The following is a 12,503-nucleotide window of genomic DNA, read 5'->3' as shown; positions in this document are numbered from 1 at the left end:
CCGCCCAGGAGCTACAGGGCTTTCCAGAGCAGGTGTGGCTGGGCTGCGGGAGGGAGGTGAGCCCGTAGCCCCTCCTCCCTCCCCATTGCCGGCCACAAAGTCCATCTTGTTATCTACCCTTAGCTCCTCCACCTGCACCAGGCACCCCAAGCCTGGCCATAAGGGTGGGGGAGAGAGGCAGGACAAGGTCGCATCCCCCATCCGGGTCCCCGAGGGTCTTCCTTGGGGAACTGTTGTGATGCCCCAACAGAAAGGGGCCCCCACTCTGCTCCGCTCCTCCAGGCAGCCAGGAAGGCCTCCAGGAAGGCAGCATGGAGGCGGGGGACAGAGTCCTGCTAGGCCAGGCTCTCGCTGACTCTGAGTCCCCTCAGAGTCTTATATTTATTTATTAATTAATTATTAGTAGTATTACTTTTTGAGAGAGTTTTGCTCTTGTTGCCCAGGCTGGAGTGCAATGGCGTGATCTCAGCTCACTGCAACCGCCGCCTCACAAGTTCAAGGGATTCTCCTGCCTCAGCTTCCCAAAGTGCTGGGATTACAGACGTGAGCCACCTCGCCCTGCCTATTTCAAAAAAATTTTTAAATACAAATGGGCCCGGTGTGGTGACTCACACCTGTAATTCTAGCACTTTGGGAGGCCGAGGCAGGCGGATCAACTGAGGTCAGGAGTCAGAGACCAGCCTGGCCAACAAGGTGAAACCCCGTCCTTATAAGAATACAGAAATTAGCCATGGCCCAGCACAGTGGCTCATGCCTGTAATCCCAGCACTTTGGGAGGCCGAGGCAGGTGGATCACCTGAGGTCAGGAGTTTGAGACCAGTCTGGCCAACATGGTGAAACCCTGTCTCTACTAAAAATGCAAAAATCAGTGGGGCGTGGTGGCATGCACCTGTAATCCCAGCTACTTGGGAGGCTGAGGCAGGAGAATCGCTTGAACTTGGGAGGCGGAGGTTGCAGTAAACTGAGATTACACCATTGCACTCCAGCCTGGGAAACAAGAGCAAAACTCTGTCTCAAAAAAAAAAAAGATGGATGAGGAATTTTACTGAGAGAAGAGGCAGGCACCACCAGAGCTCCCAGCAGTCCTAACAGGAGGAAAGAGAAACCAGCAGCCACTCCCCAGCTTCAGCTAAGCAGCAGGAGGCTACCTACCAGCTACGGAGCTCCCTTCAAACAAACAAACAAAAAAATCAGATCAAGCTTCCCACTCTAACCACCAGTTTGCAGAAAACAGGAGGACAAAGTTCCCAGTGAAACGACACCATGAGGCAGCAATCAGCCCAGTCCAGAATGTGAGCCCGTCCACAGGACAAACGACCTGTTTCCCTGTGATTCAGCGACAAGGAAAAAAGAAACAGGGTGGGGCGGGGAAGTGGGGAGGTGAGCTGTCATAAAATATGCAAAACAGGCCAGGTGTGGTGGCTCACGCCTGTAATCCCAGCACTTTGGGAGGCTGAGTCGGGCGGATCACGAGGTCAGGAGATTGAGACCATCCTGGCTAATACAGTGAAACCCCGTCTCTACTAAAAATATATATAAAAAAAAAATTAGCCGGGCGTGGTGGTGGGTGCCTGTAGTCCCAGCTACTTGGGAGGCTGAGGCAGGAGAATGGCGTGAACCCCGGGGGCGGAGCTTGCAGTGAGCCGAGGTCACACCACTGCACTCCAGCCTGGGCGACAGAGCAAGACTCCCTCTCAAAAAAAAAAAAAAAAAAAAAACGCAAAACAGATTTGGGGCTCAGAGGCTTAGACTTTCCAACTCCATGAATGTCCCACAGATGTTCCAAAGTCATGGGAATGACCTGGGCGCAGTGGCTCATGCCTGCAATCCCAGCACTTTGGGAGGCCGAGGCAGGAGGATCACCTGAGGTCAGGAGTTTGAGACCAGCCTAGCCAACATTTTTTTTTAGTGAAACTCCATCTCTACTAAAAATACAAAATTAGCTGGGCATGGTGGTGCACGCCTGTAATCCCAGCTACTCAGGAGGCTAGGGGAGGAGAATTCCTTGAACCTGGGAGGCAGAGGTTGCAGTGAGCCGAGATGGTACCACTGCACTCCAGCCTGGGTGACAGAGCAAGACTCTGTCTCAAAAATAAAACAAAGTCCTGAGAATGCAGGACAAACCTTCATTGCGTAACTTTTATTGTCGCTGACCCCAGCCGCGTAAACGCTGTGGTAGCATCCTAGGACCTCCACTGTGACAACTAAAAACAACCCCCACAGATTCCCATAACTCCCCCAGGGGGACAGCACTCCGGAATTCAGGACTGTTGCCCTAAACCCTCTGTTTTCCATTTCAGCTTTCCCTTACTGGTGCACGCCCCCATGCTTGGCCACCACGGCCAATTTCAAGCTACCAATAAGAGATCATTGAACATGGAATTGGAAAGAAACGCACAGTAATACATTGTTCTATAGTAAGTCTTCTTACTATGGTAAACACTTACCAGCCAGTTCTCTGGAGAAAAAAACACACTGTATGTTAGTATCTGCCAATCTGTGTGCCAATCAATGTATGTGCTCACTGCAACCTCCGCCTCCTGGGCTCAAATGAGTCTCCTGCCTTGGCCTCCTGAGTAGCTGGGACTACAGGTGCCCGTCACCACACTCAGTTAATTTTGTGTTTTTTTGTAGAGATGGGGTCTCACTATGTTACCCAGGCTGGCCTCGAACTCCTGAGCTCAAAGCGATCCTCCTGCCTCAGCCTCCCAAAGTGCTGGGATTACAGGTATGAACCATCTTGCCTGGCCTATTTACATTTATTATGTCTGTGTAATAGGCTTGCTATAGAACAATGTAATACTGTGCATTTCTTTCCAATTGCATGTTCAATGATCTCATATTGGTAGCTTGAAATTGGCCGTGGTGGCCAGGCATGGAGGCATGCACCTGTAATCTCAGCTACTCAGGAGGCTGAGGCAGGAGCATAGCTTGAAGCCAGAAGTTAAAGACCAGCCTGGGCAACATAGCAAGACCTTGTCTCTCTACAAAAAATAAAGAAAATTAGCCAGACATGGTGGCACATGTCTGTAGTCCCAGCTACTTGAGAGGCTGAGGCAAGAGGAGCCCAGGAGGTCCAGCGTCAGCTATGATCCTGACGCTGCACTCCAGCCTGAGTGACAGAGAAAGACCCTGCCTCTGAAAAATTAAAAAATAAATCTGGGCACAGTTGTTCACGCCTGTAATCTCAGCACTTTGGGAAGCTGAGGCAGGCAGATTGCTTGAGACCGGGAGTTCGAGACCAGCCTGGCTAACATGCTGTAACCCAGTCTCTACTAAAAATACAAAAATTACCTGGGTGTGGTGGTGCACACCTGTAGTCCCAGCTACTCGGGAAGCTGAGGCATGAGAATTGCTTGAACCTGGGAGGTGGAGGTTGCAGTGAGCTGAGATCACGCCACTGCACTCCAGCCTGGGTGACAGAACGAGACTCCATCTCAAGAAAAAAATAAGAAAAGTTTTTTTAAACACAAGTGTGTGAGGGTGGCTGTCCAGGGACACAAGGACACCGAAGAATGGTGATCAGTGCTTCCAGTATGGGGAAAAGTGGAACTCATTTATACAGGTAAAAATGGAGAGGTCAAACGCAGTGGCTAATGCCTGTAATCCCAGCACTTTGGGAGGCCAAGGCAGGTAGATCGTTTGAGGTCACGAGTTTGAGACCAGCCTGGTCAACATAGTGAAGCCCTGTCTCTACTAAAAAAAAAAAAATACAAAAATTAGCTGGCTGTGTGGTGGTGAGCACCTGTAATCTCAGCTACCTGGGAGGCTGAGGCAGAAGAATTGCTTGAACCTGGGAGGCAGAGGCGGGGTGGGGTGGAGGTTTCAGTGTTCCGAGATCGCACCACTGCACTCCAGCCTGGGCAAAAGAGCAAGACTCTGTCTAAAACAAACAAACAAACAAAACAAACAAAAAACCAACAACAACAACAACAAAAAATGGAGATCGTGAGCAGAATGACAGCATTTTGCATACAAAGGCTAACATACAGTTATAAGATTAGATTGACAGTTATAAAAGATTAGATTAGGTGCAGTGGCTCACACCTGTAATCCCAGCACTTTGAGAGGGTGGCGGGCTGATCATGAGGTCAGGAGTTTGAGAACAGCCTGGCCAACCCTGGTGAAATCCTGTCTCTACTAGATACAAAAAATTAGCCGGGCATGGTGGCTGTGCCTGTAATCCCAGCTACTCGGGAGGCTGAAGCAGAATTGCTTGAACCTGGGAGGCAGAGGTTGCACTGAGCCAATATCGTGCCATTGCACTCCAGCCTGGGTGACAGGGTGAGACTCCATCTCAAAAAACAAAACGAAAAAAAGGCCGGGCACGGTGGCTCACGCCTATAATCCCACCCAGCACTTTGGGAGGCTGAGGTGGGCGGATCATGAGGTCAAGAGATCGAGACCGTCGTGGCTAACATGGTGAAACCCCCATCTCTACTAAAAATTTAAAAAAAATTTTTTTAAATTAGCTGGGCATGGTGGCGGGCACCTGTAGTCCCAGCTACTCGGGAGGCTGAGGCAGGAGAATGGCGTGAACCCGGGAGGCAGAGCTTTCAGTGAGCTGAGATCACGCCACTGCACTCCAGCCTGGGCGACAGAGCGAGACTCCGTCTCAAAAAGAAAAAAAATTGTAGGCCGGGCACAGTGGCTCATGCCTGTAATCCCAGCACTTTGGGAGGCCGAGGTGGGCAGATTATGAAGTCAGGAGATCGAGACCATCCTGGCTAACATGGTGAAACCCCGTCTCTACTAAAACTACAAAAAGTAGCCAGGCGTGGTGGTGGGCGCCTGTAGTCCCACCTACTCAGGAGGCTTAGGCAGAAGAATGGTGTGAACCCGGGAGGTAGAGCTTGCAGTGAGCCAAGATCGAGCCACTTGCACTCCAGCCTGGGCTACAGAGCGAGACTTGTCTCAAAAAAAAAAAAAAAAAAAGAAAAAGAAAAAAGAAAGAAATTTACTCTTTCTGGACGGGCGGGGTGAGGTGGCTCACGCCTATAATCACAGCACTTTGGGAGGCCGAGGCAGGTGAATCATGTGAGGGCTGAAGTTCGAGAGCAGCCTGGGCAACATAGTAAAACCCTGTGCCTACAAAAAATGCAAAAATTAGCTGGGCATGGTGGTGCACATCTGTAATCCCATCTATTCAGAAGGCTGAGGAATGAGAATCACTTGAGCCCAGGAGGCAGAGGTTGCAGTGAGCTGAGATCGCACCACTGCACTCCAGCCTGGGTGACAGGGCAAGACTCGGTCTCAAAAAAAATGTTTTTAAAGGCCTGGCACGGTGGCTCATGCCTGTAATCCCAGCACTTTGGGAGGCCGAGGCAGGCGGATCACCTGAGGTCAGGAGTTCAAGACCAGCCTGGCTAACGTGGTGAAACTGTCTTCCACTAAAAATACAAAAAAGTAACCGAGCTTGGTGGCATGCGCCTGTAATACCAGCTGCTTGGGAGGGTGAAGCAGGAGAATCGCTTGAACTCAGGAGGGGTGGCTGCAGTGAGCTGAAATCATGCCACTGTACTTCAGCTTGGGCAACAGGAGGGAAACTCCATCTCAAATAAAAAGAAAAGAAAGTTTATTCTTTCTGAGAGCCCCTACCCATCAGGGTTTCATCTGCATTAAAAGACAGCCCTCCGTAGCCAGGCCTTTCTTCTCTCTCTTCCATAACCTGTCTCACCAGTCTCCAAGTCCTGATTCTTCTTTAACCTCAGAGTGATATAAAAACTTCGTCGGGCACGGTGGCTCAGCCAGGCACGGTGGCTCACGCCTGTAATCCCAGCACTTTGGGAGGCTGAGGCGGGCGGATCACTTGAGGTCGGCAGTTCGAAACCAGCCTGACCAACATGGAGAAATCCCATCTCTACTAAAAATACAAAATTAGCCGGGCATGGTGGCGCATGCCTGTAATCTCAGCTATTCAGGAGGCTGAGGAGGGAGAATCGCTTGAACCCGGGAGGCAGGGGTTGTGGTGAGCCGAGATCGCACCATTGCACTCCAGCCTGGGGAACAAGAGTGAAACTCTGTCTCAAAAAACAACTTCAGCTATCTGGCCCTTTCTCTGAGTTTGCGTATTTTCTGTGAGTCCTGTGTGCACATGATAAAATGTGTATTCCTTTCTCCTGCTATCTGGCTATTATTAGTTTGATTTATATAGACTCAAATGTTTTAACCTCCAGGGGAAACATTTTAACTTCCCCGCAGTTCTGGCACTGTGAGCAGGATGCAAATCAAATCACTCTTGTTTCGGAGCCTACAGATGGTTTTCTGGGACAAATGATAAATAGCTGGCAGAAAAAGGTGAGATTTCTTACCAGCTCCTTGGATCTCTGCCTGTGGGACCCGGTCCAGTAAAGGTGGTAAAAGTCTTGGTTTTTTTCCCTTTCCAAAACTGGATTAACGGGAAAAAACGTATGTGAACCAGTTTGCTTATAAAATAAATTGATGGGCCGAGTGTGGTGACTCATGCCTGTAATCCCAGCACTGTGGGAGGCTGAGGCTGAAGGATCGCTTGAGGCCAGGAGTTCAAGAGCACCCTGGACAACACAGCAAGAGCCATCTCTGCCAAAATTTTATTTATTATTATTTTATTTATTTTTATTTATTTATTTATTCCAAGACAGAGTTTCCCTCTTGTTGCCCAGGCTGGAGTACAATGGCACAATCTCGGCTCACTGCAACCTCTGCCACCCAGGTTCTAGCGATTCTCCTGCCTCAGCCTCCCGAGTAGCTGGGATTACAGGCGTGCGCCACCACGCCCGGCTAATTTTTGCATTTTTAGTAGAGACGGGGGTTTCACCAAGTTGGTCAGGCTGATCTCAGGTGATCCACCTGTCCTGGCCTCCCAAAGTGCTGGGATTACAGGCATGAGCCACCACGCCAAGCCTTCTAAAAATGTGGAAAATAGCCGGGCATGGTGGTGTATGCCTGTGGTCCCAGCTACTTTGGAGGCTGAGGTGGGAAGATCACTTGAGCCCAGGAGATAGAGGCTGCAGTGAGTCACGATGGTGGCACTGCACTCCAGCCTGAGCGACAGAGCAAGACCTTGTCTCAAAAAAAGAAAAAAAAGACTTGTTTCCCCATCTACCTCCACTCTTTCTTCCTTTTGTCTCCTTCAATAGCACATGAAGAGATTTAAAAGAGACGAGTTAATGGGTGCAGCACACCAACATGGCACATGTATGCATATGTAACAAACCTGCACGTTGTGCACATGTACCCTAGAACTTAAAGTATAATAATAAAAAATATATATAAAATAAAAAAGAGACTTTTAGTGATTCTGAGCCTCCTTGAGGAGCTCAGCCAAAGCACCACAGACTTCCTTTTTGGGGTCTTCTGTCTTCCTCACGGAGCCCCAAGAGTCGAGGGTGGGGTCTAATCCTCTGCTCTCTTTTGCACTAAACTCCCTGATCTCTTTGGCTTTTGAAGGTCCAAGGGTTACTTTCTTCTCTTTTTTTTTGAGAGAGAGTCTTGCTCTTGTTGCCCAGGCTGGAGTGCAATGGCACAATCTCGGCTCACTACAACCTCCGCCTCCCGGGTTCAAGCGATTCTCCTGCCTCAGCCCACCGAGTAGTTAGGATTACAGGCATGTGCCACCACGCCCGGCTAATTTTGTATTTTTAGTAGAGACGGGGTTTCTCCATGTTGGTCAGGCTGGTTCTGAACTCCCGACCTCAGGTGATCCACCCGCCTTGGTCTCCCAAAGTGCTGGGATTACAGACGTGAGCCACCACACCGGGCCCAGGAGGGTTACTTTCTAAGGTAAGAAAACACTTGACCTTTGGTCATGGGATAACTAAGTAGTTACTGTCAATAGCTACAATTTTGAAGATAACTGACAAGGTTGGAATGAATGGTTATTACCACAGTGGGCAAATTTTATCCTCCTCATTTCTTCATGCATTGAGATAAGAAAAAACTCAGATTTCTGACTGAGCCAAGCAGAACTGACAGTAAAGTGTGCCTTGCAGCCCAGGCTGAGTGTGGGAGCTTTTAACAGCCTGTCCCTGGGCATTTCCCTCTTGGGCTTTGCCACTGGTCTAGGGGATCAGGGATTCAGCCTAGGAATGGGATCCGTGATTTCTGGGATCCAAGAGCTCTGCCTTCCAGCTGTGCCTGCTTTTTCTATAGGTGAGGCTTAGGCCAGTCCTGGAAACTCCACGTGCTTTCTCGGCTTTATCTGTAAATGGACTCAGTAATCCAGTTAAAAAACAGAAAGTAGGGCCGGGAGCGGTGGCTCACACCTGTAATCGCAGCACTTTGGGAGACCGAGGCGGGCGGATCATCTGAGTTCGGGAGTTCCAGACCAGCCTGACCAACATGGAGAAACACCCCCTGCCCCCCCACCACCCCATCTCTACTAAAAATGCAAAATTAGCCGGGCATGGTGGTGGGTGATTGTAATCCCAGCTACTCAGGAGGCTGAGGCAGGAGAATCACCTGAACCCGGGAGGCGGAGGTGGTGGTGAGCCGAGATCGTGCCATTGCACTCCAGCCTGGGCAAAAAGAGTGAAACTGTCTCAAAAAAAAGGAAAAAAAGAAAAGAAAAGAAAGAAAACCAGAACAGAAAGTAGGCCAGCACGCCTACAATCGCAACACTTTGGGGGCTGGAGGTGGGAGGATCTCTTGAGGTCAGGTGTTTGAGATCAGACTGGGCAACAGAGGGAGAACCAATCTCAAAAACAACAAAAGAACTTACATTCTTTCTCTTTGCCTTGAGATATAAATTGATATCCTGTTTTCTTTAAAATTTGGCTGGGCCCGGTGGCTTACGCCTGTCATCCCAGCGCTTTGGGAGGCAGAGGAGGGTGGATCACTTGAGGCCAGGAATTTGAGACTAGCCTGGGAAACATGGTGAACCCCATCTCTACTAAAAATACAAAAATTAGCCAGGCATGGTGGAGCACGCCTGTAAATCCCAGCTACTCAGATGGCTGAGGCACAAGAATCTCTTGAGCCCAGGAGGCAGAGGTTGCGGTGAGCTGAGATCGAGCCACTGCAGTCCAGCTTGGGTGACAGAGCAAGACTCTGTCTCAAAAATAAATAAATAGGCTGGGTGCGGTGGCTCACGCCTATAACTCAGCACTTTGGGAGGCTGAGGCAAGAGGATCCCTTAAACCCAGGAGTTCAAGACCAGCCTGGGCAACATAGTGAGACCCCATCTTTAAAAAAAATATACAAAAATTAGCCAAGTGTGGCAGTGAGTGCCTGTGGTCCCAGCTACTCGGGAGGCTGAGGCAGGAGGAGCACTTGAGCCCGGGAGGCAGAGGTTGCAGTGAGTTGTGTTTGCACCACTGCACACCAACCTGGGTGACAGAGCGAGACTGTGTCTCAAAAATAAACGAATAAAATATTATAATAGAGCATATATAGAAACCTCATCTCTGGCACTTTGTATTGGCATTGCAGATGAAGTACAGGAGATGACTGATATTCAATAATGGTGCTCGGAGATTTCGTTTTCCATATTAAAAAAAATGAATTTAATATATATATACACACACACACCCCATCTGGGTTTGTGTAAATATACTCTATGATGTTCATACAACATGAAATTGCCTAATAATACATTTCTCAGAACACATCCCTATTGTTAAGTGACCCATGACCATATTGTTGAATGAATGAAAGTATTTCCAGAATTTTACTTCCTGGGACAGTGTCCATGAAATCATCTCCAGGACTACTAGCCCTGTGCCAAGGACACTGAAACCTTTCATCTCTAAGCTGCTTTCCTGCTAAGCCATGGGGTTCTCTTTTCGCTCTGTTTGTACAATCCATTCAATTAATATGCATTAGACGTTCTATGTGTTTCCCCGGTTGCTCTAAGAAGGTAACACACAACTGGGTCCCTCAAAGCAAAAGAAAATCATTCTCCTTTAGTTTTTCTTTTTTCTTTTTTTTTTTTTTTTTTTGAGACAGGGTCTCACTCTGTCTCCCAGGTTGGAGTGATCTTGGCTCACTGCAGCCTCCGCCTCCTGTTTAAGCAATTCTCCCACCTCAGCCTCCCAAGCAGCTGCGGTTACAGGCATACACCATCACGCCCGGCTAATTTTTGTGTTTTTAGTAGAGATGGGGTTTCGCCATGTTAGGCAGGCTGGCCTCAAACTTCTGACCTCAGGTGACCCACCTGCCTCGGCCTCCCAAAGTGCTGGAATTACAGGTGTGAGTCATCACGCCCAGCCCGTTCTCCCTTAGTTCTGGAGGCCCAGAGTTAATCTCTGCCTTTGTCATCATGTGGCTTTCCTTTCTTTGGTGTCTGTGTGGTCACCCGTCATAACGGATTAGGGACACCACACACCCTACTCCAGTATAACCTGGACTTAACCAGTTACACCTACAATTATCTTACTGTAAACCACAAATAAAATTCTCAGTCCCCCAGGTAACTGAATGGACCCTCCCTCTAGACCAAGGGCATTCTAAAGTAAACCTGAAACACTAGTTCAGCCCAGGATGGGACTGGGTGGCTGGACATGCCTCATTATACCCTCCTGCCATTGTAATTCAGGCTCAGCTGACCAGTGTTTAACATCAACACAGACCTCAAGACTGACCAGGGCTGGGCACGGTGGCTCATGCCTGTAATCCCCGCAATTTGGGAGGCCGAGGTGGGCGGATCACTTGAGGTCAGGAGTTCCAGACCAGCCTGGACAACATGGTGAAACCCCATCTCTACTGAACATACAAAAAATTAGCCAGGCATGGTGGTGTGCTCCTGTTATCTCAGCTACTCAGGAGGCTGAGGCAGGAGAATCACTTGAACCTGGGAGGCGGAGGTTGCAGTGAACCGAGATTGTGCCACTGCACTCCAGCCTGGGTGACGGACTGAGGTCCTACTTGGGGCTAGGACTTTAATATATGAACTTGGCCAAGGGAGGCTGGGTGCAGTGACTCACGCCTGTAATCCCAGCACTTTGGGAGGCTGAGGCAGGAGGATAACCTATGGTCAGGAGTTCGAGACCAGCCTGGCCAACATGGTGAGACCCCATCTCTACTAAAAATACAAAAATTAGCAGGGAGTGGTGGCAGGTGCCTGTAGTCCAAGCTACTCAGGAAGCTGAGGCAAGAGAATCACTTGAACCTGGGAGGCGGAGGTTGCAGTGGGCTGAGATCGCACCACTGCTCTCTAGCCTGGGTGACAGAGAGAGTCTCTGTCTCAAAAAAATGAAACAAGGAAACTTGGCCGGGGACTCGTCACAAGTCAAACCATAAGGAACATGTGCTGTGCACTGGATACTGTCTGAGGTGCTGGGGTATGCAATCCCCTTCTTTAGGGGACTTAAGTGGCCCCTGTCCTGCTCAGCTTCCTTTTGTCCCCTTCTGGTGAGGGACAGGGCGGGCTTTTAGGTGTCTGTCCAACTTCTGCTTTGGAATTTGCAAATGCAGTAAGAAACTCAGTAAATATTTATTGATGAATTAGTGCAGCTTGTTGGCAGCTTGCCAGCTTCTGCTTGGGCTTTTGTAATGTGAAAGCTGTTGGCTGGGCACAGTGGCTCACGCCTGTCATCCCAGAAGTTTGGGAGGCCGAGGTGGAAGGATCACTTGCGGTCAGACCAGCCTGGCCAAAATGGCAAAACCCCATCTCTACTAAAAATACAAAAATCAGCTGGATGTGGCAGCGGGTGCCTAAAATCCCACTTGGGAGGCTGAGGTGGGAGGACTGCTTGAACCCAGGAGGCGGAGGTTGCAGTGAGCTGAGATGGCGCCACTGCACTCCAGCCTGGGCGAAAGAGCCATCGCACTCAGCCCTCCTCCTGAGTTTTTTTTTTTTTTTCTTTGAGACGGAGTCTCACTCTGTCACCAGGCTGGAGTGCAGTGGCGCGATCTCAGCTCACAGCAACCTCTGCCTCCTGGGTTCAAGCGATTCTCCTGCCTCAGCCTCCTGAGTAGCTGGGATTACAGGCACCTGCCACCACGCCCAGCTAATTTTTGTATTTTTAGTAGAGACGGGGTTTCACCGTGTTGGCCAGGATGGTCTCGATCTCTCGACCTGGTGATCCACCCGCCTGGGCCTCCCAAAGTGCTGGGATTACAGGCATGAGCCACCGTGCCTGGCCCCTCCTGTGTTCTTTAACACCTCCCAAGCCCAAACCCTGTTACTGGCAGCAAATCCGTGTGGGTCTGCAGCAACCTCAATTCTTGTCTCCTAAGAAGAAAGAATTCGACTGAGGGGAATAGGCAGAAGGAAAGACCAAGGCAGCCTGGGCAATAGGCTCTCATTTAGAGCAGGAGAGAAAGTTTATTGAAAAGCTTTAGAGCAGGGACAAAAGGAATGAAAGTACACTTGGAAGAGGGCTAAGCGGGCGACATGAAAGACAAGTGTGCAGTTTGACCTTTTGAGTTGGGGTTTTATATGTTGGCACACTTCTGGGGTCTTGCGTCCCTTCTCCCCAGTTCCTCCCTTGGGGTGGGCTGTTCACTTAGGCGGTGGCCTACCAGCGCCTGGGTGGGGAGCATGCGCAGTGTGTTTACTGAAGTTATACGCGTGCTCACTTGAA

The 12,503-nt window shown here is 49.7% G+C and overlaps 1 annotated feature.

Moving 5' to 3' along the window:
• Positions 158-721: an enhancer, noted in NCBI's record as "H3K4me1 hESC enhancer chr19:49198499-49199062 (GRCh37/hg19 assembly coordinates)". NCBI's record gives its function as "activates a minimal SCP1, AML or CMV promoter by ChIP-STARR-seq in primed H9 embryonic stem cells {active_cell/tissue: H9 hESC(primed)}" and the evidence as "EXISTENCE:reporter gene assay evidence [ECO:0000049][PMID:30033119]".

This window comes from Homo sapiens, chromosome 19, assembly GCF_000001405.40.
Source record: "Homo sapiens chromosome 19, GRCh38.p14 Primary Assembly".
In the NCBI taxonomy this organism is placed as follows: domain Eukaryota; kingdom Metazoa; phylum Chordata; class Mammalia; order Primates; family Hominidae; genus Homo; species Homo sapiens.
Note: the sequence above shows the minus strand (reverse complement) of the source record. Positions and strands in the feature narration are given on the sequence as shown.